Source organism: Homo sapiens, chromosome 3, assembly GCF_000001405.40.
Source record: "Homo sapiens chromosome 3, GRCh38.p14 Primary Assembly".
NCBI classification, from domain to species: Eukaryota; Metazoa; Chordata; class Mammalia; order Primates; family Hominidae; genus Homo; species Homo sapiens.
This window is the reverse complement of record NC_000003.12, coordinates 138,303,797-138,329,908: the sequence shown is the minus strand read 5'-3', so window position 1 is coordinate 138,329,908 and position 26,112 is coordinate 138,303,797. Positions and strand designations below refer to the sequence as shown.

The 26,112-nt window shown below is 43.4% G+C and overlaps 1 protein-coding gene across 10 annotated transcripts in view; it reads left to right on the top strand.

Annotated features, from left to right (window-relative positions):
* The first annotated feature begins 57 nt into the window (after positions 1-57).
* NME9 (NME/NM23 family member 9) overlaps positions 58-26,112 on the top strand; it is a 68,416-nt gene continuing 42,361 nt past the window's right edge. For 2 of the 10 annotated variants that reach the window (XM_047448078.1, NM_001349018.2), the window contains exons 1-9: positions 58-606; positions 4,979-5,036; positions 10,328-10,431; positions 11,690-11,761; positions 14,266-14,382; positions 15,502-15,577; positions 23,429-23,511; positions 23,813-23,905; positions 24,882-25,036. In XM_047448078.1, coding sequence (XP_047304034.1) covers positions 574-606; positions 4,979-5,036; positions 10,328-10,431; positions 11,690-11,761; positions 14,266-14,382; positions 15,502-15,577; positions 23,429-23,511; positions 23,813-23,905; positions 24,882-25,036 — 791 coding nt within the window. In that variant the 5' untranslated portion in view covers positions 58-573. Of the gene's footprint in view, positions 607-2,780; positions 2,879-4,978; positions 5,037-10,327; positions 10,432-11,689; positions 11,762-14,265; positions 14,383-15,501; positions 15,578-23,428; positions 23,512-23,812; positions 24,072-24,881; positions 25,037-26,112 lie in introns of those variants that run through there. The other 8 variants (NM_001349021.2, NM_001349020.2, NM_178130.4 and 5 more) reach the window with 7 other exon arrangements.

Genomic DNA, 26,112 nt, shown 5'->3' with positions numbered 1-26,112 from the left:
GGGCGTGGCTTACGTGTCCGCCGGCTTTCCTGGCAGGCCTGGCGGGGGGGCCAGGTTGCCATGACGACCGCGGCTAGGTCGCGGCAGACTCGGTTGGTGACTCCGGGCGCGTCGAAGATCTTGTACCTGTCGTTCGCAGTGGCTCACTTTCCCAGTAATCCATAAGAACAGCAGGGATAACAGGGTCCCATGTCGTTTTTTTGTCAGAATTCCTCGACTGGCGACCCTGTGCCCGACAGGCTGCACCGCGCCCGGCGCACTGACTCCGGCCTCTGCGCGCGCCCCCTGGCCGGCTCCGGGGTGGGGAGGGGGCTTCGCAGATCCCCAGAAAACCGCCCGGCGAGCCACGAGCCCGTGGACTGCAGGCTCCGCTTCCTCGCGGGGTGTTCACTTTGTATCAGTGTGCTGATTTGCCGCCAGTTAGAAGCACCTTAAAAAGGGGCCGGGGGCCGTAGGAGGGGGGCTTGTCTGAAGGAGGCTCTGGGCTTGCTGATCCACGCAGCGGTTTGTCGCGAGGCTGCGGGGGAACGGCCCACGGCCGCGGTAACAGGGCTTCGTCTTCTTTGCAGAGCCATGGGCAGCAGGAAGAAGGAAATTGCCCTGCAGGTAAGCCTCAAGGGGCGCTAGCTTCCAGCTCTGGGTTGGGCTCGGGGAAGAGGAGGGTGATTAGAGCGGGGTTGCAGTATAAAAGTGACATTCTGTTTGCCAGCAGTACGTGACAGTGTTCTCAAACTTGAGTGATGTACCCTTCCGTCTTAAAGGGACAAAACTTATCTTGGAACCCCAGTGATGACAAATTTTACGCAAACAAAATTAATGCAAACAAAACTGAGTAGAAGCTGTTTACATTTATAGTGCTTATACAACCATAAAACCTAAACATGCATTAAATAAAACTATAAACTAAGAAAATACGAATCAACATAACTCGATGTGACCGTTATTTTGTTCTTGTTGAAATACAACTGCAGCTTGCACAGAGAATACAGTATAGGTTCTTTTGACTTTGGGCATGAGTCTGTAACTGTGTGCTCTGTGGAGACCCAGTTTTCCCACCACTGTTCTCATCAAATTTCACTTATTAACAAATATGTTTTGAGATATATTATGTGCTGGACATATGTTATATAGAGTGTCTTACTTCATTTGCATGTGGGACAAGTGAATTCAGAAGCCAGCAGCTGCTCTTCTTCTTGGTCCTGGACAATAGATAGTGGTTGATTCTGAAGTGATGGTAAAAACATGCAGGCATAGACCCTGGAATTAGGAGAGAGTGCTTGGTCATAAGGAGATCAGCTGGATGATCTGCAACATGGGAACATTTTAAAACGAACTTAAAATGCCTCATCATCAGCTGGCCCCAGTAAGATGCATACCAAGGCTACAGCGCCTCCTAGATAATAGAGCATTAGTGGTTTTGAGACATCTGGTTTCTCTCTTATTGTCCTCAGCAGGACCAGCAGTTTGCATGTGGATTTCAAAAGCCTAGTGGTTTAAAAAAGAGGAAAGGGGAAAGCAGCATCATTCTAAGGGTACCCCATGCTGGGGGTGGGAGGGGTGTGGGGTGGGGTGGGGTGGGATTTTTAGACTGGAAGTCAGAAGACCTGATGTAGTTCTTGTGTCCTCTATAGCCAACTGTGTCTTTGACTACATCACATAACCTCTCCAGGCTATAGCTTGCCCATCTATGGAATGAGGATGTTGTGTGAATTATCCCTAAGGGCCTTCTTCCAGCCTTGATATTCTAGGATTCTAGAGTCAGAAGCCACTTCATACGTGAATGTTCTGGTTGAAGTAAATTCTGATCAACTGGTCCTACCATTCATTGCTGTGTGACTCATTTCCTCAACTCTCTGGCCTCCGTATCCTTTACGTAGACAGGAGGGATGATACCTGTCCTGTAACGCCTGCAGAGCTGTGATGAGACTCCTTTAGACACTTCCTGGCTGGTCTGATGTTGTCTGTGGTGTCTCTAATGTTATTGCCCCATATTATGGTCATTTCATGTGTTGATGCCCTAGAGCTCCTATGGGGGTAATAACTTTTGTTAGCAATGTTGTTATTTTTTCATGTGTATTACTCAGAGCTCTGAGTACAATGCAGTACTCAAACTAAGTGCTCCCTCCTGCTGAAAGGAGGAGAGCGAGCAGCCTCCCCTCCCGTCTTCTACTGAGGCATCTGTGTAAAGGTCACCTCTCTATAAGGTAAACCCCTTGAAAGCAATGCCTAAAGTTGGCCAACCCAGGAACCTTGTCCTCTCTCTCAGCAAGGTTATTCAGGGTTCCCTTTATAACTGAGACAGGCAGAAATCACAGGACATCAAGGGACAGTCTGGGTAAAAGGTGCCACACATTCCCTATTCATTCCCTACCAAATGCAGGCTTAGTGAAGTCCGGATAGTTCCCACACTGTTCCACTCTTGCCTGGCTCCCAGGGCTGAGATTCTTCAACTGCCCAGAGTCCTGGCCCCAGAGCTGGTGGGACTCACTCCATGACAGGGGTGGGCCACAGAGAGCTGCTGGTGACTTAAGTCTGAGCCTCTGGGTAGGGGTGTGGGGCCCTTCCGAACGCTTCTATCACCTTCCTCAGGACTGTAGTTGTGGGCCCAGGGTTATGTCAGTCCAACTCTCTTATTTCATTTAAGACATCAAGAAGACTTTTCTGGGTTTCTTTTTCTTCTACTTTTCATTGAAACAAAAAAAGTAAGGACTATGCTTCCTTAAAAGAGAGACTTTTTTTTTTTTTTTTTTGAGACAGTTTCATTCTGTCCTGTCGCCCAGGCTGGAATGCAGCGGCATGATCTCATCTCAGTGCAACCTCCACCTCTCACGTTCAAGCAGTTCTCATGTCTCAGCCTCCCGAGTAGCTGGTAAAACAGGTATGCGCCACCACGCCCGGCTAACTTTTTTTTTTTTTTTTTTTTTTTTTTAGTAGAGGCAGGGTTTCACCATGTTGGCCAGGCAGGTCTGAAACTTCTGGCCTCAAGTGATCTGCCCGCCCTGGCCTCCAAAAGTGTTGGGATTACAGGCATGAGCAACCACGTTCGGCCAAAAAAGGAACTTTTAATAGAGGATTAGCAGTTGTTACATGTTTCTTGCCCTTATTGCCAATAATGCATCCTATCTTTTTTAGAGGGACACAGACCTTAGCATACCTGTATTAAGAACAATAGTAGGCCAGGCGTGCTGGCTCATGCCTGTAATCCCAGCACTTTGGAAGGCCGAGGCAGGCAGATTACTTGAGGTCAGGAGTTCACGACCAGCCTGGCCAACATGGTGAAACCCTGTCTCTACTAAAAATACAAAAAATTACCCGGGTGTGGTAGCGGGCACTTGTAATCCCAGCTACTTGGGAGGCTGAGGCAGGAGAATCTCTTGAACCCAGGAGGCAGAGGTTGCAGTGAGCCATGATCATGCCACTGCACTCCAGACTGGGTGACAGAGTGAGACTGTGTCTCAAAAAAGACAAACAAAAAACCCAGTAGTAATTTTTGTGGTCTTTTAATGTATATAGTTTCAAAGTAGCTCACCACAAAAATATGTTAATTACAAAGGAAAAGAGAATAATTTTACAGACAACAGACCTGACAGACCATGTTAATCCAGTGATCAAAGTGAACATCAGTAACAGGCAGATGGAAATTGTGTCTCATCTGCTAGGGAGTAGTGAGAGGAATGATCTTCAGCTTCTCCAACACTCCAACCAGTCCAGCCAATTTCAACCAGTCCAAACATGCACAGTCTGAATCCAATCAGGAGGAAACATCAGATATGCCCCAACTGAGGGACATTCTACAAAATACCTGGCATGTAGTTTTCCAAAGTGTCAACATTGTGAAAAGAAGAGAAAGACTAAAGAACTATTCCAGACTAAAAAGACTTGACAAATAAATCTAGCACACATTTCTGATTAGCTCCTTTGATACTCAGGACATTATGGGATAAATAGGAAAACTTGCACTCTATCTAAGGATTAAATGTTCACAATATGTCAGTGTTTTTTTCCCCTGATTTTGATTATCGTAATGTGTTATATAGGAATAATATATTCAGGAGTAATAAGATAACAAGCTGTAATTTGCTTCCAAATACCTAAAAAAAAAAAAAAAAAAATCCCTAAATCTTTATACTGTACTTGCACACTTTCTCTAAGTTTGAAATTATTTCAAAGTAAAAAACATTATACAGAAATGTTTACTATTGGCCAGATGTGGTGGCTCATGCCTGTAATCCCAGCACTTTGGGAGGCCGAGGTGGGCAGATCACTTGAGGTCAGGAGTTCGAGACCAGCCTGGCCAACATGGTGGAACCCCGTCTCAACTAAAAATACAAAAATGGCCAGGTGTAGTGGCATGTGCCTGTAATCCCAGCTCCTCAGGAGGCTGAAGCATAAGAATCGCTTGAACCTGGGAGGCAGAGCAGAGGTTGCAGTGAGCTGAGATTGCGCTTCTGCACTCCAGCCTGGGTGACAGAGCAAGACTCCATCTCAAAAAAAAACAAAAAAAAAAAAAGAAATTTTTACTGTTAATAAAGAGGGACAATATGTATTTCTCCTTGTATTTCATATTTATAAAACCAGAACTGTGTGGATAAGAAAAAAATGTGAGTGAATGGCAATAAATTCAACTTAATTCTGATACTGAGTGAAAACACAAATTTCAAAATGAAACCTACAGTTTGATGTATTTATGTACATTTTAAGGACACAAAAACAATTTATATATTGTTCCTGGACAAATAACATGTAAAAGTATTTTTTAAATGCCTGAGACTAGTATACATCATTCTTAGGATAGTGTTTTTTTCTGGGTAGGGAAGAAGGGAGAGAAGGAAGGAGAAAAGAAGATGGGGGAGAGGATAACTTGAACTGTACTTGTAAGTATTTCAGAGATAGAAGAGAGAAATCTAGAGCAAATAGATTGAATTGTTTCCCTGCCTGAGCCCTCAGTAATACGGCATTTGATCCTCTTTGGCTTTAGGTCAACATCAGCACCCAAGAGCTTTGGGAGGAAATGCTCAGTTCCAAAGGACTAACTGGTAATTCAAAGTAAAATAACTTTTTAGATCCATTCTTTTCTAAATTATTAAATGGTGTGATGAACCATGAAGAGAAGGGCTGCAATGAACACCACTTTCCTATTACCTTGAGCCTCATAAAAAACCAGGTGATGTGTGTGTGTGTGTGTGTGTGTGTGTGTGTGTGTGTGTGTGTGTGTATCTGGCTTGAATATCAGTAAATTCAGTTCAGGAAATGAGTCAGTACTTAGGGTTGTTTGGTGTTAAAAGTAACAGAAAACCTCTTCTAATTACTTCAGGCACTAAAGGAGAATGCATTGGAAGGAATACAGGGATCTCTTGGAACTCAAAGGATGGAAGGAGAGCCAGGCATCACTGGGACTTGAACCTGGGACTGCAGTCATTAGGAAACAGCAGGCCACTGTCTATGGGCCTCCTCATCCCTATCCTCCTGGCATCAGTTATTTGTTGCACTTAGCAATTTACCCAGAAACTTAGTGCTTTACAACAACAAACATTGATTATCCCAGTTTCTGTGGGTCAGGAGTCCAGGTATAGCTTAGTTGGATACCTCTGGCTCAGAGTGTCTCACCACGGTAGTTAAGGTATCAGACGGGATCTCAAGGCTCAACGAGGAGCAGATTTGCTTCCAAGTTCTTTTGTGTGGCTGTTGGCAGACCTAAGAAGATCCACTTCCAAGCTCACTCATGAGGCTGTGGGTAGGAAGGATTTAAGTCCTCATTGGCTGTTGGCCAGAGACGTTAACTTCTTGCCATTGGTTTCTCCATGAGGCTACTCACAACCTGGTAACTTGCTTCCCCTAGGACAGGGCTCTAAGAGAGGGCACAAGTTGGAAGTCACAGCCTTTTGTTAGCCTAATCTTGAAAGTGATATCCCATTGCTTTTGCCATACTCTGCTCATCAGAAGCTGGTCACTAGGTCCAGCCCACACTCCAGGGCAGGGGATTACACAAGTACATGAGGACCAAGAGGTGGGGATCATTAGAGACATCTGAGAGGCTGCCTACCACCTACTGTCACCCACTCTTTACTTCTCTTTCTCATTCACTGTAGATATCTCTGTGCTCTGTTACTCTGTGTGCCTGCTCAATTTTTCTCTCTGTGAATATACCTGCTCAGTGTGCTTGTATCTGATCTTAGCCTTGCCCATTACCACCCCCTCCACCAAATGACTTCAGCATTCAAGCCCATTCAAGCCAGATGGGATATCATGGCCCATCACCAACTGTAGAAATCTTTCTTATTCCCAGACCCAGTGCAAAATTAGCCTCCTCATATGAAATCCTTCTGGAACCTCTGTGTGGTCATGTCCCTCCTGGGAGCTCTTAGGGCACTTGGGGTGAGACTCTGTCTCAATCCCTCCAGCACACACCCCACTTGCTGCGGCCCCTGTAGGGAAAGACCATCACAGCTTTTCTCCTAGACTCTAAACACAACAGCATGCTTTTTCTTCTTCTTCTTTTTTTTGAGACGGAGTCACCCAGGCTGGAGTGCAGTGATGCAATCTTGGCTCACTACAACCTCTGTCTCTGGGGTTCAAGCGATTCTCCTGCCTCAGCCTCCCAAGTAGCTGGGATTACAGGCACATTCTATCACACCCAGCTAATTTTTGTATTTTCAGTAGAGATGGGGTTTCACTGTCTTGGCCAGGCTGATCTCAAACTCCTGACCTCAAATGATCCGCCCACCCGGGCCTCCCAAAGTGCTGGGATTAAGGCGTAAGCCAGCACACCCGGCCAGCATTGGCTTTTTAATCTCACATCTGTAGTAGACTTGCCTGGGACTGAGGCCAAGAGGGTACTAGATAAATGCTGATCCAGTTGTGTGGGTGTCAGTATTGCCACACTCTACTGTTTGGGGGATTATAAAGCCTTTTTGATGGTGCCAAGGCTTAACCATTTTGTCCATGTGTCTTGTCTGGGCAACTGGAACATGGCTCCAGGTGAAAAAAATCATTATTTCTATTTCTTTAACAACTGTGAATAAACCACCATGCCTTAATTTTTTGAGAATGTATCATGTGCCAGCCACCTTGCTAAGCACCCTATGTGATAGTAGCTAACATCCAGTGAGCACTGACCCTCTGCCAAGCCTGGTCTAAATGGTTCAAGGGCCTCTGTTAAATGAAGGCAGCAAGGCCTCCTCTTTGCTCCTTCTCATCAGGCAGTCTAGAGGAATATATAGATATGGAGCATATAAATACATAGATATGTGTTTTTTCTCTCTGCAGCCGGCAGAAATTTTCTTCCAAAGTGAACCACCAGTATCTTGGAAATCTTGCCTTCTGCTGGCTCATTTTCACCTGCTTTCAACATGCCAAAGTCCCTTCAGACCTACACGTGCATGCACAGACACACACACACACACACACACACACACACACACACCCCTTTTTCTTGTCTCTGCCATTCCTTCCATGTGGCTTCTCTGTTTTGCTTCCTCTCACTCGGAGTCAAATCAAACACTTCCTCTCTGGTCCCTCCCACCCCCTACCCCCCACCCCCGCTTCCTCCATAACTTTGTGAAGGTGCCTTTGTGCCTACCACTCCTCACAGAGCCAGGGCGTCCAAGAGGGAGGGAAAAGCTAGTAGAAATGGCAGGTGCACTATCAATACAAATACAGCACAGAGAGTTTAGGCTAATTGAGCCCCAGCTTTTTTCCTTTGGGATTTAAACCTGCCCTTTTCAGCGGGCCTGTGTACAGGGCCCTCTAAGTCTTCAGGGACATTTTCCTGGCTTGACCCGAATGCCCTTTTTGGCCTTCACCCAAATAACTGTAGTAGGTTGAAATTAAAAAAAACAAAATCTGTCAATTGTGAAACTCTTGTCTTCAGAAAAGCCCAGAACTTTATCCTCTACGTGGATGCTGTGGAACCCAAATCCCACTCTCCTGCCCCTCCTCTCCTGCTTGGATGTCTGGTTGCCTTTGTGATCACTTGTCTTTGATTTTCTGGTTGGTACTGAAAACCCAGCCTGTTTAGAGTTGAGTTTGTTCTCCTTTCCCCTTCAACAATCTCTCCCCACCCCTCGCTAGTTCTTTTTCTCTGCCAGGCTCAAAGGTGAAGTCCTTTTCACACCATCTTCATTTTCATCCCTAGTATTTTGCCTACATTCTTTTCATTCTATCCCCTCTGCCACCCCTGTGTCTGGCTTCCTCATTCCTCCTATACCCAGCTTGGTTCTCACATTCTGCAAAATTGTGCTACATGGCTAAACCAATGAACACTGCTGAATTCATGCGTCTTGCTTCTTCCCTGGAGCAGCTGAAAGAGCATGGGCTATGGCATCAGGCAACACAGGATTTAAAATTTGATTCTGCTGTACTGTGGTTTAAATGTGTCCCCCTTCAAAATTCAGGTGTTGAAACTGAATGGCCAAAGTAATGGTTTTAAGAGGTGGGGCCTTTAAAAGGGGAGTAGTGCCCTTCATGAGTGGCATTAAGTGCCCTTATAAAAGGGTTTGATGGAAGGAGTTTATTCCTTTTGCCCTTGACTTCCGTCATGTGAGGACACAGTATAATTCTCCTCCAGAGGATGCAGCCCTTACCTGACCACCAAACCTGCTGGCACCTTGATCTTGGACTTGCTAGCCTCCAGAACTGTGATAAATAAGTTTCTGTTCATTATAAACTGCCCAGTCTGTAGTGTCCCATTATAGCAGCATAAATGGACTAAGCTATACTGCTTGAAAATTTGCTTTCTTACCTTAGGTCCATGACTTCACCTCTTTGAACTTCAGTTTCCTCATCTGTATAGTGCAATAATGATATCCATCTCACTGGGCTTTTCAGAGAAAAGCAAAGTGCACCTGCCCTCTTGCAGCTAAAGCAGAATAGCTTAGTCTGTTTATGCTGCTGTAACAGGACACCACAGATAGGTAGTACATAAAGAACAGAAATTTATTTCTTACAATTCTGGATGCAGGCAAGTCCAAGATATTAGCTCCCTCTTCTAATACTTACTGTGAATCCTCATTGCCTAGTGATTCAGGATAGAGCTTCTCAAGCCCCACATTCCAGATTCCTCCAGTGATCCCTGCCACCACTTCCTACCACACCATCTCGGGCAGGTCTGGTCCAGCAGGCTGCCCAGGAATCCCTGAGTCTGCCACCTGTGCCTGGCTGCCCATCCTTTGCACCACAGTCTCCCTCTCTACCCATTCAAGCCTGGGCTCTCTACAATGCCCAGTGCAGGTCATCTCTTCATGGGAAGCCTTCCTTCCCTGGTTACTATAGAACAGTGTTAGAACAGTGCCACCAGTTTCTATACTAACTTTAGTGATGACAGTTTATATTGTGTTATATTAATAGTTCTCACTTGATGGGAAAATTTTGAAATGTGAATCTGCAATAAGTAAAATCACAAATTGCACACTATTAAAATTGGCAGAGCTAATCAATTATTAGCAATTTTGACACTATCTCCCTGTGACTATACTACTCTGGCGGTTGAACAGAAATGCTCACCTGTGTGGAACAGGCATGAACTCTGGGAGTGTTGAGGCATTTTGGCAGATATCCCTCTTCTAAAATATGGCCACTGGTATGTCACCATCTAGCCCTTGCTGCTGCTTCATGGTCGCGTGGGGCAGGTCCTGCACAGATCCAGTAGACAGGAGTTGGCTTGGTTTGCTTAGCTTCCTGTTGATCACATGGTTCACAACACTCAGATGAGAGGGTTCCCTTACATCCAGCCCTGACATGTACTATAGATTGGGATTAAAGAAGAAAAAGGTATCCAAGTTTCTCTCTAGCTCTCTATCAGGCTCACTTTCTGGGAGAAAAATGTTGATTTTTCTAAAGTAGATAAAACTCTGCTCCACCCAAAGAAAGTGGCTTTTAATTCATCAGAGGAAAAGGTCAAACCTGTGTTTGTTATCAAAGGATTACATAAAAGTCAATTGTGTGCTGCTGGGTCACCTACAGTGACCTCTCCTTTTTAGAATAGACAGTTTCAGTCTAATTCCAATATAATTGAGGGCCACCCTGTGTTAGGCCTAACCCTGAATGTAGCCTGAAGAACCCTTAAGATAAAGGAGCCATGTTAAGAAAATTATTTTCTGCTATGCTTATACTGTATTTAGAATTCAGTATACCAAGTTCATAAGAATGAGGACTAGCTGTGTTTCCACCCTGGCTTATAATCTCATGGGATAGTAAATCCCTTTAACCATTAGATATCCCGGCAAATGAATGTCCATTTGAGGGGGGTTAGAATGTACAGGTATAAATTATGCATGGTGTGGTGGGCACTGGCGTCTACTGAATGTTCCTGCTTCTTGGTTCCACACAGTTGTTGATGTCTATCAAGGCTGGTGTGGCCCCTGCAAACCTGTGGTGAGCCTCTTCCAGAAGATGAGGATCGAGGTCGGCCTGGACCTTCTGCACTTTGCATTAGTAAGATTCTCTCTCAGCCAACAGTCATACAACATTGTAAAAAGAATTTAAAAATTTAAAAGAGTCAGGAAGGAGAAGTGTGAGAGTGACCTTTCTCAGGTCATTAAAAAGGAATCAGTGTGGACTTTTTGTTGATACTGTCATGATACTTTCTAATTTCTCTAGTTATGAAGGTTCCTATTCCCCACCCCACCTCCCTGTGTCCCTCTTGGCTTGAGCAGTTCTTGGTGCTGTATGAAGAGAAGAAATATATGTCACTCAAATGCATATTCTCCCTCTTCTTTTTTCTTTTTCCTGTCACCCAGGCTGGAGTGCAGTGGTGGTATCACGGCTTATTGCAGCCTTTGCCTCCCAGCCTCAAGTGATCCTACCACCTCAGCTGCCCAACTAGCTGGGACTATATAGGCACATGCCACCATGCTTGACTAATTTTTTAACTTTTTGTAGAGACAAGGTATAATTATATTGCCCAGGCTGGTCTAGAACTCCCAGGCTCAAGCAATCCTCCCACCACAGCGTCCCAAAGTGTTGGGATTACAGGCATGAGCCACCACCCCAGCCACATCTCCTTCTTGGCTCATGAACACTGTTGACTGAAATGTCATTTTCAGAGCAAAGGGTTTTAAGATTTCCATCCTCTGCACCATAAAGGGGAACTTTTAGCAAATATTTATTTGGATGAATGTATGGAAATGGGAATAAATTCCAGAGAAGTGTGCAAGAGACACTGTTGATATGCTGCATGGGTTTGAGGTTCATAGGCAGTGAAGACAGGAGAAAATATAACTTACAATAATCACTCAAGAAGTTGGACTTCAAGGACTCTGCAGTTCCTCCTTTGGCAGTCAGTCTTGGTGCTTCCATAAGGAGTGTGCTGTAGAAGGGCTTGCGTGGGGGATCTCTTATGCCCATGTGCGGCAGGTTTCTCAGACAATGAAGGTGGTGCCTGAGGACCTTCACCTCGGTTGTCAGTCATGGCTGCAGAAGGACATTAGCCAGTAACGCTCCCTTGGACTGGTGCAGTAGCTGGGGGGCGGGTAGGAGATACTCTTGCTTCCTCATTTGATTCTTCAAGAGAGTACATGTCCGCAATTTTATAGGACAGCTCTGATTAGCAGGAACAGCATGAGAGCAAATCGGGGCTCTACCTGGGGAAGTCAGTCCTGGGGGTGTTCAGTTCCCTGTGTGGTTTCCCACCAATCAATTGGGCCCTGCACCCCCTGCATCCAGGGTACCTGCTGATAGTGGCTTTCTTTAGGCAGAGGCAGATCGTCTTGATGTCCTCGAAAAGTACAGAGGGAAGTGCGAGCCAACCTTTCTGTTTTATGCAGTAAGTACATTTTCAGAATCAGAACTATTTGACGATTGCAAATCATTAGAGTTCAAAATAGAAGCATCTCACTGACATTAATTCACTCTTGGAGAATTAATGGGAACCACCAAGAGGCCTCACAGATTCAAACAAGTGATGCTGTTTTCTCTGATGCCTCCCAGTCTATTTTTATGATGTTGGCTACATGACACCCCCACCCCCAAGTCTAACTGGTGATACAAGCTGCTGACTAGGATGGCAGCCTGAGGGCCCTGTGCCCAAGGAGGTGGATGACACAGCACCCTAGTGGTCACTGTGCTGGGGCAACCTTCCTGACTTGCTGTACACAGGGAGAGAGTACCAGTCACTCAAATGTACATGCTCCTTTTTGGCTCATGAATACTCTAGACTGAGGCTTCACTCTCAGAGCACAGGGTTTCAAGATTTCTATCCTTTGCTCCGTAAAGGGGAATTTTTAGTAAAAATAGATACTCCTTTATGGGGCAGACAAGCTCTTCATTCACTTTTATTTAATCAGAAAATGTGAAGATATGTTTATAGAAAGTTAGAAATGAGAGGGACTATTGAGGAAAACCAAGTGGCCCAGTGTTTTGAAAATATAATTTGGATGTCCTTGGGTGTGACATCCATGGTCCAGCTCTATGCCCCTTAGGGCCCACTGTTTCACACTTGGCTTCCTAGGTTTAGGCCACCTGCCAGGCTCGGATGGCAATGGATCGATATACCTCCTCACTGAGACCAGCCCCTCATTGTAGAGTCAGGAATACTGGGATCTACTCAACCAGGTCTCCAAACACCAGGCTAGGGTTGTTTAATTTGGAAAACTTCAGCCTCCTGGCCTCAGCACTGCAAGTATTACAAATTGGAAACTTATGATAAAACATTATTTGAGCTTTGGATTTTAGTAGGGAGACTGAATTTACATGAGATAACATGGTTGGGAGGAAAGGAGGGAGAAGTAGGAAGGAGCTCAGAGATGAGCATGCCCCAGACACACTTGACATCAGAGCTCAGTTGCAGAAATGGGATCATTACCACAATGGCTTAATTGCTTGAGCCCATAGCAATTAAAGCATAAATCCTAATTGGCTGTATGGAAACATGGGCCACAATCTTCAACCCTATGGTGGCCCACTGAGGAATGGGATGGAAATGGAAGGAGGACCCACTCTATGTGAACTTCTCCCTCTCCAGATCCATTTCTTTGTGAGTACAAACGTAGAGACTTTTGGCCGGGTGCAGTGGCTCACACCTGTAATCCCAGCACTTTGGGAGGCCAAGGTAGGCAGATCACCTGAGGTCAGGAGTTTGAGACCAGCCTGGCCAACATGGTGAAACGCCGTCTCTGCTAAAAATACAAAAATTAGCCAGGCCTGGTGGCGGGTGTCTGTAATCCCAGCTACTTAGGAGGCTGAGGCAGGAGAATCACTTGAACCCAGGAGGCGGAGGTTGCAGTGAGCCGAGACCACACCATTGAACTCCAGCCTGGGCAACAAGAGTGAAACTCCATCTCATAAATAAATAAATAAATAAATAAATAGACTTTTGAAAGAGTTAAAGCAGAAACTCAGGTTCATCCCAAATACCACCTGGACTGTGAAGGCTTCCCTGACCATCTCAGATGATGCTGGCAATTCTTGCCCCAAGTTCCAAGCACCTTATAAGTTTCCCTATTACAGCAATTATTTCATAGTATTGTAATTGTTTCTTCAGCTTGGCCAGCCATCCCTCTCCCCACTCTACTACCCATTCATGAAGGCTGCAGCTATGTTTTTTCATGTTTAATGTTTATATTCTTTGCCTCTGCCTTAGTGCTTGGTATAGTAAGTGCTCAATAATATTTGTTGAATGAATAAATCATGTGTAAGCCACACTTAGTCACTCATAACTTACTATGTATTGTTCCTCCCTTAATGAACTGCTGGTTACCCTGAAGGAAGCTTTGAAAGGAGTGGCATGGCCTAGAAGGTAGATATCAGAAAAAGAGAAATCATTTAAAACTAGGAGCAGACTGGCCAGGTGCGGTGGCTCACGCCTGTAATCCCAACGCTTTGGGAGGCCGAGACAGGCAGATCACGAGGTCAGGAGATCGAGACCATCCTGCCTAACATGGTGAAACCCCGTCTCTACTAAAAATACAAAAAAATTAGCCGGGCATGGTGGCGGGCACCTGTAGTTCCAGCTATTCAGGAGACTGAGGCAGGAGAATGGTGTGAACCTGGGAGGTGGAGCTTGTAGTGAGCCGAGGTCACGCCACTGCACTCCAGCCTGGGCGACAGAGCAAGACTCCGTCTCGAACAAACAAACAAACAAACAAACAAAAAACCTAGGAGCAGACCTGAGGGTGTCCTGCCAAGGGAGGGCAGCAGAAGTGAGCACGCTGCTACAGGCCTGGGGTTGAGGGACCTTGAACTTGGGGACACTCCTAGACACTCTTGCCATCTCTTACAAGAGATTAATATTTGCCAAGAGTATTTCATGCTGTTTGTAACGTATTCTAGGGAGGAGAACTGGTGGCTGTGGTTAGAGGAGCAAATGCCCCACTGCTGCAGAAAACCATCCTAGACCAGCTGGAGGCCGAAAAGAAAGTGCTGGCTGAAGGCAGAGAACGGAAAGTGGTAACTGGAGGTCACTTCTATAAGCAGCTAACTCACAAGTGCGCTAGTAGGGCGAGATCAGCAGTCCCCATCTCCTTCACCTGACTTTCCTGGAGCTGTCGGTGGACAGCTTCATAAAAGTTTCACCTGGGTCTGTTCCTCATGCACTGTGCCCTGGTGATATGTGTGCATTTTGAAACCTTCTTATAAAAGCCATCTCTTTCATCCAGAGTGCTTTATTTTATCCATTTCCCTTTCGTCTCCCACCTCAACTCTTAACAATGAATTCAGAAATGAAAATCAAGTTACAGAATGGAGTGGTGGGTAGGAGAAGTCAGCTATCCTGGGCTCCTCTCAGCCTTGAGGTGAAATCTCTCCTAGTGACCCACTGGCTCATATTCCTGAAGGTTTTACTTGTGAACTCAGAGGGCTCATTTCTTTAACCTAGAAATTAAGGTCTGTCATTATCATGAGAAATAGAATCAGCAAAGCTTGTGATTTTGATACATTATTTCCATGATAACATTGACTGCCAGTTCTTCAAATAATTGGCTGCCTTTGAAAATCAACATACCGTAGGTAGAGAGGTATTTCCTGGTGCTTTGAGCATCTGGCAAATGTGACTCAACACCATTCCATGTTCATTGTTCAAGTTTTCTTATTAAATTCCAAATAGCAAAGCTCCATTTTTATAGAATGGATTAGAATCAAATCATATTTTTCCCAAGAAAACTGGCCATTTTCCCTCACAAAAGAAAACTGCAAATGCTAACATTTTCATGTGCCTCCTCCAAGGGAATATTATCTCTTGGCGGCTTCTCTGTACTGCATAGTCAATCTCTTAATATTTACTTACATTTCAATTCTTTGTCTTCTTATCAACTATCTCTACTTAATGCTTATGAAAAGAGGCAGACTCTAAAACTTAAGCGTGGATTTTCTTGTATTCTAATTCTGTCAGTCCCACACCATCACCCAACTACCAAAAAGGGTCCTGTAAAGTTTCCAAGACTGATAATTTTGACATTTTTTTCTCTGTGTTTTGGAGCTTTGCTTTTTTTAGTTTCTACAGGTTTTTGAAGGTCTTAGTGGTAATGTTAATTAGCTAACTACTTTCTTTTAATGACCAATTTGTACTAGATTAAAGATGAGGCTCTTTCTGATGAAGATGAATGTGTTTCCCATGGAAAGAATAATGGTGAAGATGAGGACATGGGTGAGTGCAGAACCAATGAGCAAGGGAAAAAAGCAAAGCAGACTCAGATTTTATATATGTTTAAAATAGATGAGTATTCAGTTTACTGAGCAATCTGAACTATGAGAAGATTTTTTAATGGTTCATAATTTTCTTTTAAAAATTGATATATAATAGATGTGCATATTTTCAGAGTACATAAGATAATTTGATACACTCATATAATTAAATCAGGGTAATTGGGATATCCATCACCTTAAATATTTATCTTTTCTTTATGCTATGGATATCCAAATTATTTTCTTCTAGCTATTTTGAAATGTACAAAAGATTAATGTTAACTATATTCACCCTACTGATTTCTTGAATACCAGGTCTGATTTCTTCTGTCTATCTGTAGATTGTACCTATTAATCAACCTCTCTTCATTCCTCTCTCTCCACTTCCTGGCCTCTGGTAATCACCAATCTACTCTCTATCTTCATGAGATCCATTTTTTAAGTTCCCACATATGAGTAAGAACATGTGCTATTTGTTGTTCTTTGCTTGGGGGCTTATTTCACTTAACATAATGATCTCCAGTTCTATCCATGTTGCCACAAATGACAGGATTTTAATCTTTTAAATTAATGAATAATATTCCCTTGTGTATATACACCACATTTTCTTTATTCATCCATTGATGGGCACTTAGGTTGATTCCATATTTTGGCTACCGTGAATACTGCTGCAATAAACACGGGAGTGCAGATATCTCTTGATTTCCTCTCTTTTGGATATATACATAGTAGTGGGATTGTTGGATCATATGGTAGCTCTAGTTTTGTTTTTTCAGGGACCTCCATACTGTTTTCTATAGTGGCTGTGCTAATTTACATTCATACCAGCAGTATATGAACATTCCCCTTTCTCTACATCCTCACCTCATTATTCTTTTTTTTGTTTTGCTTTGTTTTGTTTTGAGACAGAGTCTCCCTCTGTCGCCCAGGTTGGAGTGCAGTGGTGTGATCTTGGCTCACTGCAACCTCTGCCTCCCAGGTTCAAGCAATTCTCGTGCCTCAGCCTCCCTGAGTAGCTGGGATTACAAGCACCCGCCACCACACCTGGCTAATTTTTACATTTTTAGTAGAGACTGGATTTCGCCATGTTGGCCAGGCTGGTTTTGAACTCCTGACATCAGGTGATCCACCCGCCTTGGCCTCCCAAAGTGCTGGGATTACAGGCGTGAGCCACCACACCTGGCCTCCCTTTTTTTTCTTAATAGTCCCCATTCTAACTGGGGTGAGATGACATCTTATTGTGATTTTATGATTTGCATTTCCCTGATGATTAGTGATATTGAGCACCTTTTTCATATACCCACTGGCCATTTTTATGTCTTTTTTTGGAGAAATGTCTACTCAGCTCTTTTGCCCATTTAAAAATCAGATTATTTTTCTTTTTGCTTTTAAGTTGTTTGAGCTCCTTATATATTCTGGTTATTAATCCCTTGTCGGAGGGATAGTTTGCAAATATTTTCTCCCACTCTGTGGGTTGTCTCTTCACTTTGTTGATTGTGTCCTTTGCTTTGCAGAAGCTTCTTTGCTTGATGTGATCTCATTTATCTATTTTTGCTTTTGTTGCCTATGCTTTTGAGGTCTTACACAAAAAATCTTTGTTCAGACCAATATCCTGGAGCATTTCCCCAATGTTGTCTTTTGATAGTTTCATAGTATCAGGTCTTAGAATTATGCCTTTAATCTATTTTGATTTTGTATTTGTATATGGTGAGAAATAGGGGTGTAATTTCATTCTTCTGCATATGGTTATTCAGTTTAACCAGCACCATTTATTGAAGAGAATGTCCTTTTCACCATTGTATGTTCTTGGCACCTTTGTTGAAAATGAGCTGGCTATAAATGTGTGGATTTACATCTGGGTTCGCTATTCTGTGTCTGTTTTTATGCTAGTATTTTGCTGTTTTGGTCACTATAGCTTTGTAGTATAATCTGAAGTCAGGTAGTGTGATGCCTCCAGGTTTGTTATTTTTGCTCAGGATGGCTTTGGTTATTTGGGGTCTTTTGTGGTTCCATATAAATTTTAGGATTGTATTTTCTATTTCTGAGAAGAATGTCTTTGGTATTTTGATAGGGATTGCATTGAATCTGTAAATTGCCTTGGGCACTATTAACATTTTAACAATATTAATTCTCCCAATCCATCAGCATGGAATATCTTTCCATTTGTGTGTGTGTGTGTCCTCTTCAATTTCTTTCATCAGTGTATCATAGTTTTCCTTGTAGAGAGCTTTCACATCTTTTGGTTAAATTGAAGTCTACATTTTTATATTCTTTGTAGCTATTGTAAATGTGATTGCTTTCTTGGTTTCTTTTTCAGATTGTTTGCTGTTGGTATATACATATGCTACGGGTTTTTGTATGTTGATTTTGTATCCTGCAACTTCACTGATTTCGTTTATCAGTTCTAACAGTTTTTTGGTGGGGTCTTTGAATTAAAGTGGTAAAAGCAGGCATCCTTGTCTTATTCGAGATTTTTGAGGGAAGGCTTTGAAATTTTCCCCATTCACTATGATGCTGGCTGTGGGTTTGTTATACATGGCTTTTATTGTTTTGAGGTATGTTCCTTCTATACCCAGTGTTTTGAAGGTTTTTTATCATAAAGGGAATTCAAATTTTATTGAATGGTTTTTCAGCATCTATTGGAATGATTATATGGTTTTTGTTCTTGGTTCTGTTAATGATTTGATGAATCACATTTATTGATTTACATATGATGAACCCTTTTTACATCCCTGGGATGAATCCCACATAGTGAATGATCTTTTTGATGTGTTGTTGAAGTTGGTTTGTTAGTATTTTGTTTAGGACTTTTTCATCTATGTTCTTCAAGGATATTGGCCTGGTTTTCTCGTTTTGTTGTGTCCTTGTCTGGTTTTGCTATCAGGGCAATTCTGGCCTCACAGAATGAGTTTGGAAGTTTCCCCTCCTCTTCAAATTTTTTTGAAGAGTTTGAGTATAATTGGTATTAGTTATTCTTTAAATGTTTGGTAGAATTTAGAATTGAAGCCATCAGGTCCTGAGATTTTCTTTGGCAGAAGACTTTTTATTACAGTTGTGATCTTGTTATTTGTTATTGGTTTGTTGAGGTTTTCTATTTCTTCATGGTTCAATCTTGGTAGACTGCATATATCCAGGAATTTATCTATTTCTTTTAGGTTTTCAAATTTGTTGGTGTATAGTTGTTCATAACAGTGTCTAATGATTCTTTATATTTCTGTGGTTTCCAGTTGTTATGTCTCCATTTTCTTTCTGATTTTATTTGGGTCATCTCTTTTTCTTAGTCTAGCTAAAGTTTCGTTGATTTTATCTTTTCAAAAAATCAACTTTTTGCTTCATTGATCTTCTGTATTTTTTAGGCTCAATTTCATTTATTTCTGCTCTGATCTTTATTATTTGCTTCCTAGTACTAATTGGGGGTTTGGTTATTGCTTTTTTAGCGCATTTGGGTGCATCCATTCGGTTATTTGAAGTCTTCCTACGTTTTTTGATGTAAGCATTTATTGCTACAAACTTCCCCTTTACTGTATTACTCCTTTTACTGTATCCTGTAGATTTTGGATGTGTATTTCCGTTTTCATTTGTTTCAAGAAATTAAAAATTTCCCTTTTTAATTTATTCTCTGATGCATTTGTTGTTCATGAGTATGTTGTCTAATTTTCATGTGTTTGTGTAGTTTCTGAGGTTCCTCTTACTATTGATTTCTAATTTTATTTCACTGTGGTCAGAAAAGATATATATGATTTCTGCTTTTTTAAATTTGTTGTGACTAGTTTTGTGGCTTATAATTTGCTCTATTCTGGAGAATATTCCACATGCTGATGAAAATAATGTCTTTTCTGTAGCAGTTGGGTGAAATCTTCTGTAAATATCAGTTAGGTCTGTTTGGTCTAGTATGCAGTTTGACTATGACGTTTGTCTTCTGCCTGAATGATCTGTCCATCACTAACAGTAGGGTGTTGAAGTCCCCTATGTATTGTAGTATTGTATTACTGTATTGCAGTCTATCTTTCCCTTTAGATCTATTAATGTTTGTTTTATATACTTGAGTGTTCTGGTGTTGGGTAGATATTTATAATTGTTACTCTTGATGAACTGACTCCTTTATCATTATATAGTGACCTTCTCTAAGTATATTTTCTCTTGCTCTCTTTTGGTTTCCACTTGCAATGAATATCTTTTTCCATGCCTTCACTTTCAGTCTATGTGTCTTTATAGGTAAAGTGGGTTTCTTGTAGGCAGCATATAGTTGGGTCTTGGTTTCTTTTCTTTTTTTTTTTTGAGATGGAGTTTCACTCGTCGCCCAGGCTAGCATGATCTTGGCTCACTGCAACCTCCACCTCCTGGGTTCAAGCGATTCTCCTGCCTCAGCCTCCCAATTAGCTGGGATTACAGGCATGGACCACCACACCTGGCTAATTTTGTATTTTTAGTAGAGATGGGGTTTCTCCATGTTGGTCAGGCTGGTCTGGAACTCCCGACCTCAGGTGATCTGCCTGCCTTGGCCTCCCAAAGTCTTGGGATTACAGGCATGAGCCACTGCATCTGGCTTTTTTTTTTCTTTTGAGACAGTCTAGCTCTGTCACCCAGGCTGGAGTGCAGTGGCATGATCTTGGCTCACTCTAGTTCTGTCACCCAGGCTGGAGTGCAATGGTGCGATTTTAGCTTACTGCAACCTCCGCCTCCTGGGCTCAGGTGATTCTCATGCCTCAGCCTCCTGGGTAGCTGGGATTACAGGCGTGTGCCACCATGCCCAACTAATTTTTGTATTTTTAGTAGAGACAGGGTTTCACCATGTTGGCCAGGTTGGTCTTGATCTCCTAGCCTCGAGTGATCCACTTGCCTTGGCCTCCCAAAATGCTGGGATTATAGGCGTGAGCCACTGTGCCCAGCCAACAGTGGGTTTTATACCTCAAATGTCTTCTTTTTGCATATTAGTATTTTTTTCTTTCAGATTAAAGATTTCCTTAGGCATTCCTTCTTTTTTTTTTTTTGTTTGAGATGAAGTCTCACTCTGTCAACCAGGCTGAAGTGCAGTGGCACAATCTTGGCTCACTGCAACCTCTGCCTCCTGGGTTCAAGTGATTCTCCTGCTGCCTCAGCCTCCCCAGTAGCTGGGATTACAGGCATGTGCCACCACACCTAGCTAATTTTTTTTTTGTATTTTTAGTAGAAACAGGGTTTTGCCCTGTTGGTCAGGCTGGTCTTGAACCCCTGATGTCAGGTGATCTGCCCACCTCAGCCTCCCAAAGTGCTGGGCCACCATGCCTGGCCTGCCTTCATATTTGAAGGATAGCTTTGCTGGGTACAGTATTCTTGGATGACAGTTTTTTTTTTTTTTTTTTTTTTTTCTTTCAGTATTTTGGAAATGTCATTCCACTGCCTCCTGGCCTATATAGTTTCTATTGAGAAGCCTGTTGCTAGATAAATTGGAAAGACTCTGGGAAGCTTAACCATAAAATATTTTGTCTCCAGTCACTTGACTTCAAACATACTGTGTCAAATATCTTTTTGGATCTTTATCAGCATTTTGGGCACATTTCACAGCATTTTATGTTCAAATATAACACGTGTGACTTTCATCGCAATTACCAGGCATCAAAAAAGCTGCATGTAATAAAATGGAGGGTAGCAACACCAATAATCGAAAGCAATGATGCTGTTATTTCCTTAGTTCTTATTTGAACTTTTTAAAAAAGCTCAAGCTTCTTTTTTCACCTCTTTCTTAAATGTTAGAAAACCTTTCCTTCCCAGAGCCCTACAACCTCTTTCCTGTGTTCCCCAAATATTAACTTGCAGATTTTACACTCCTGGGTATCACAGTACTTCTTGAACCCTTCATATGAGAACAACTTGACCTGACAGAATGAAGAAAAGCTAACAGTTAGGAAGGCTGTTGCTGGGACGGTGTCTCTTGGTGGTAACTGAGACATGAGGGAAAACCAGAATTAGGCTCAGGAACTGTGTTGATAAGAGGAGGAAGATTTTTTAAATTATTGCTTGAAATAGGCTGTTTTTACATGTGTGGAGAATAAGAATTGTTTGAGTTGGATTCTAACAACGGAGAAGGCACAGTTTAGGACAGCAAAACTTCAAGGGTGAAGAGAAAATCAGTGATTGTGATTCTGCAGGAGACATTTGTTGCTCCCCTGTTGCATCATCTCCTCTTTCTTCCCTCCTCCATGATTTCCTCCCAAATCAAGTCTCTCCCACGTAGAAAACCATCTAAGATACCGCCCTTACCCTTCCTTAGCCTTCCTCTTATTCACAGCCAAGCTTCCTTTGTCCACACTCTAGGCCACCTTCACTTTCCATTCATGCCCCGACCTGCAGCAATCTGGCCTCTGCGCTCACTACTCCCTGAAATGGTGCTCATTGGTGGCACCAACAGGTAGTTACCAGTTCATATCTTATGGGATTTTTCTGCAGAATGGGATGATGTTCACAATGTCTTCCTTCTCAAAACCTTCTCTTCCGGTTTCTGAGATGTCACAACTTTTCTTGTTTTCCTTCTATGTCTCTGGCCTCTCCTCAGTTTCTCCTTCATTGGCTTCTTTTCTTGTGCTGCCCTTTTAACCTGGAGCACCCCAGGCCCCTGCTTTGGTCTCTTTTCTTCTTCCTCTACCTCTAGGTGATCTCACTAATCAATTTATAATGGAATTTATTGTAAAACTCTCTTAAAATCTAAATATTCATAACACGTTAGAAATAGTAATGTCAGAAAGAAATAACAGATTTGTTGCTTGAAATGATTTATACATTTGCAGTACATGTTTTTGAGATTTTTCAGAGTAGAAGCCCTCGTTAAATGTAGATATTGTCTTGTTTCATTTCAACACAACCAATGTAAAAGCTGAGAAACAAAATAGGTGATGGGAGAATGATGATTCTGTGGAGAGTGTAGATAACTCATCCAAGACAAGTTTATATAATATAAGCAGGAGGACAATGGAGATGGGCTCATGGACTAGACACAGACCTCCCTACAGCTCCTGTGGGACTAAGCAGTGGACTCTGATCCTGTGGCACCTCCCTCATTGTCATAGCTAATTGGACTGGTGGATGCTTATTCAAGGGCAGTCAATCAGCAGACTGGCCAGTGAGCTAGGGCTGGTACCTTGGCTAAAACCAATGAGTGGGGCAATCTGGCTTCTCTCAGGAGAACTTGAACGGAGACAGACTACTGAAACTGCAATCTGGTAGTATGTGCTGGAGCTGAGAAGTCATGGAACATCATGCAGACTCAGGGCCTGGAGGAGCCATTTTTAGCCACATGGCAGGAAAGGGAAAAAGTATCAGAGGCACAGGAGCCAGTAGAGTGAAAGGAGAGCACGTGGCAGACAGCAGGTAGAGTGCTGGGAATCATGAGAGGGTGAGGGCAGCCAGGCCTGTATTGCCCATGCTCCAGGCCCCCCTCTCACTTTCTCCTATACCTCCTCTTCTTCCCACTCCCCAGGCCAACTCAATTCAGTTGTTTCTGGATTTCTGGTCCCAAGCAGTCTTTGAGCAATCCCTTCTCCCATGTTCCTCCTCTGCCACCTGCCCAGGTTCATTGAGCCAGTCTCTGAGTCTCTGTTCCTTGCAGCAAGATGGAGGTTGAGGTCTGGCCTCAGGTCTGGAGTCAGACTGGTGCATCCACCAGAGTCCAGGTTTGCAGGGGCAAAACTAAGAGGCCAGGGAAGGGAACTCTGAGAGCCCAAGCCTGTGCCTGGCACTTGGTGCAATGGAGCCTTGTGTAGAGGTTGCATTGTTTTTTGTGGATGGCCTCTCAGGAGCCTCAAACATCAGCATCTGACAGCACCATTTTTTGGCTTAGTTTCATCAGAGAGGACCTGTACCTTGGCCATCATTAAACCAGATGCAGTGGCCCATGGAAAGACTGATGAGATTATCATGAAGGTAAGAGAGACAACACTTACCATGCACCACTGTCCTTGTGTCCTCTTTTGTGGATAAACAGGGATGGGGCACTGGGCAGTGATATCTTAGTGCAGAAAGATGAATTCTAAGGGGTTGTAGCTCAAGTTCCATTCAAGTAAATGAAAATGTTAAATCTGATTGGGACAGATAATGTGGGGATCAGTGTCTCCACAGCCTTTAATGTTGCCTGTCTTTATTTTTTACCTTTCAACTAAATTAATTAATCAATGTGAATTTGGGCTTGATTTACCCTTTTAGAATATTTATATATATTCTACAGATTCAGGAAGCTGGGTTTGAAATTCTAACAAATGAAGAGAGAACCATGACAGAGGCAGAAGTGCGACTTTTCTACCAACACAAAGCTGGAGAGGTCAGCTCATCTACTTCCACAAGTTCAACACACTGTCGTTTCTCTTCCTCCAACATTATGCTTATAGATTGATATCAGTTTGTGACAGAAGAAATTATGAAGAACCAAAATAGGAACAGCAAGTGGGTCATGAATTTATTCTCAGAATGACAATAGGCTGTATCAGGTAAAGTTTTTTGGTTGCAAAGAAAAGGTTTTCTCTCTAAGAAATGAATTAAGGAATTTATTAGAAGGAAAGTCCATAACTCACAGAATTGAAGGGAGAGTTTAATGAGAAGGGCTTGGAGACAAAAGGAAGCTAGGGATCTCGAAGCAAAGCCTCGAGCATATCACTTTAGATACTGCCATTGGATAACTCAGATCTAACTACCTTCCATTTGCTTCTGCTGATAACCCACCTGCTTGGGAGTCTTCTTGGCTTAGCTTGGGTCAGAACCCTTCCTCTCAGGTCAGGGGTGTGTGTGTGTGTTGGGGAATAGGCATCCCATGGTTGTCAGTCAAACTTGGACCAAATGAAATGGGTAAGGGCTGTTCCCCAAAGGAAAACCAGAGTACTGTTACTTGAAGAGGGAGGAAGGGTTGTGAGGCATTGCATGGAAAAGAAAAAAAGTACCAACTATATTTCAGCCCTTGGTTATCCAGCATCACACGATTTCCATAGATATGGTCTTTTAAATGTCTCTGCCTAATTTATATAATCTCACGTTTATTCCCAAATGAGTCAACTTAAAAGTCTCGTCATTCTGAGTTCTGAGTGTGGTAGGTCATCACTACCACCCATCCCTGACACCCTCCACAGCAGGCAGAGGTGGCCAGGCAGAGACAGGGTGCAGTGGCTGAGTGGCCACGGGCATGCTGGCTGGTAGCAAGGCTGCTCACTAACTCCCTCCCATTCCGTGGGTGAGATGGGCTCGCTGATCCTCTGCAGGCCCTAGCAGCTCCTGCCCTGGTCACTGTTTTCCCTCCCTGTGCCTAGGAGGCATTTGAGAAGCTGGTACATCACATGTGCAGTGGACCAAGCCACCTCCTGATCCTCACCAGGACTGAGGGCTTCGAGGACGTGGTCACTACCTGGCGAACCGTCATGGGCCCCCGTGACCCCAATGTGGCCAGGAGGGAGCAGCCAGAAAGGTGATGTCACCAGCTGTGGTCCTTTCATCCATCTTAAAACCTGCATCCCAGGAGGCTGAGTCCCACTCAGTGTTCAGCCTAGAATCATGGGTAACACAGAGGACTCTCTGATGGCCAGGCTCTCTATTATATATTTGGGGAGACCCTGACATCTTCCCGCTCTGTTCCAGTCCTCAGCCTTTGCTGAGGGCCTCCTGTAAGCTGCTTCCTCTTCCTGCTCTGTCCTCTTCTGAAGGCTGCTTCTGGATTCATTCCTCAGTCGCTGTTTTCTCTTTTCGGCCAGAGGATTCCACAGGGTACTCCCAGGAACATACAGATTCTAGGGCCCCATTCAAGCCTGTCAATCAGAGACTCTGGGCCAGGGCCTGAGAATCTGCACTGTAGTCTCAATGCCATCCAAACCTACTCCCCATCAGGGTGTCTGAGGCCCTCGGGAGTCTGAGTACCTTGTTCTGCACATTGCACTGGGCTTGCTTGGCCTGCTCCTTGGACTTGGGAGTATTTAGCTTGGCGCCAGCAATCCAAATCCACTTTACCTTGGCCTTTGAAGCTGACAGGCCCAGACAACAGGAAAGAAATTAGAGAAGCCAAGGAACTGCAGTTGTACTTTGTAGGTGTAGGGGACCAGGAACATTTATATATGAGGCAGGCTGGGCTAGTGAAAGCCAGCTCAGGATTCAGATCTTAGGTCACTGCAAGTCTCTTCTCAGCCTGAGTTCTCTCAACTGTAAAACGGGGATATGAGCATCCATCAGGATTGTGTATACATACATGTATATATCTCACCGAGTAGTGCTTGACACACAGGAAATCATAGCAATATTATCTTACGAGGTTATTGCAAGGATAACTATGCACAACTTTATCAAGCACTTGGTATGGTGCTAGCCTTTGGTAGTAATATCGAAAAAATGGCAGCTCCTGTGCTTACACCATTAATCATGCATCTTTAAAATGGGGGTAACAGTAGACTCCCTCATAGAGCTGTGGCGAAAATGTAATGGGATCGTGTAGGTAAAGTACCCAGCTATGTGCCCAGCACACTGCCATGACCAAATAAATGCCAGCTGCTATTA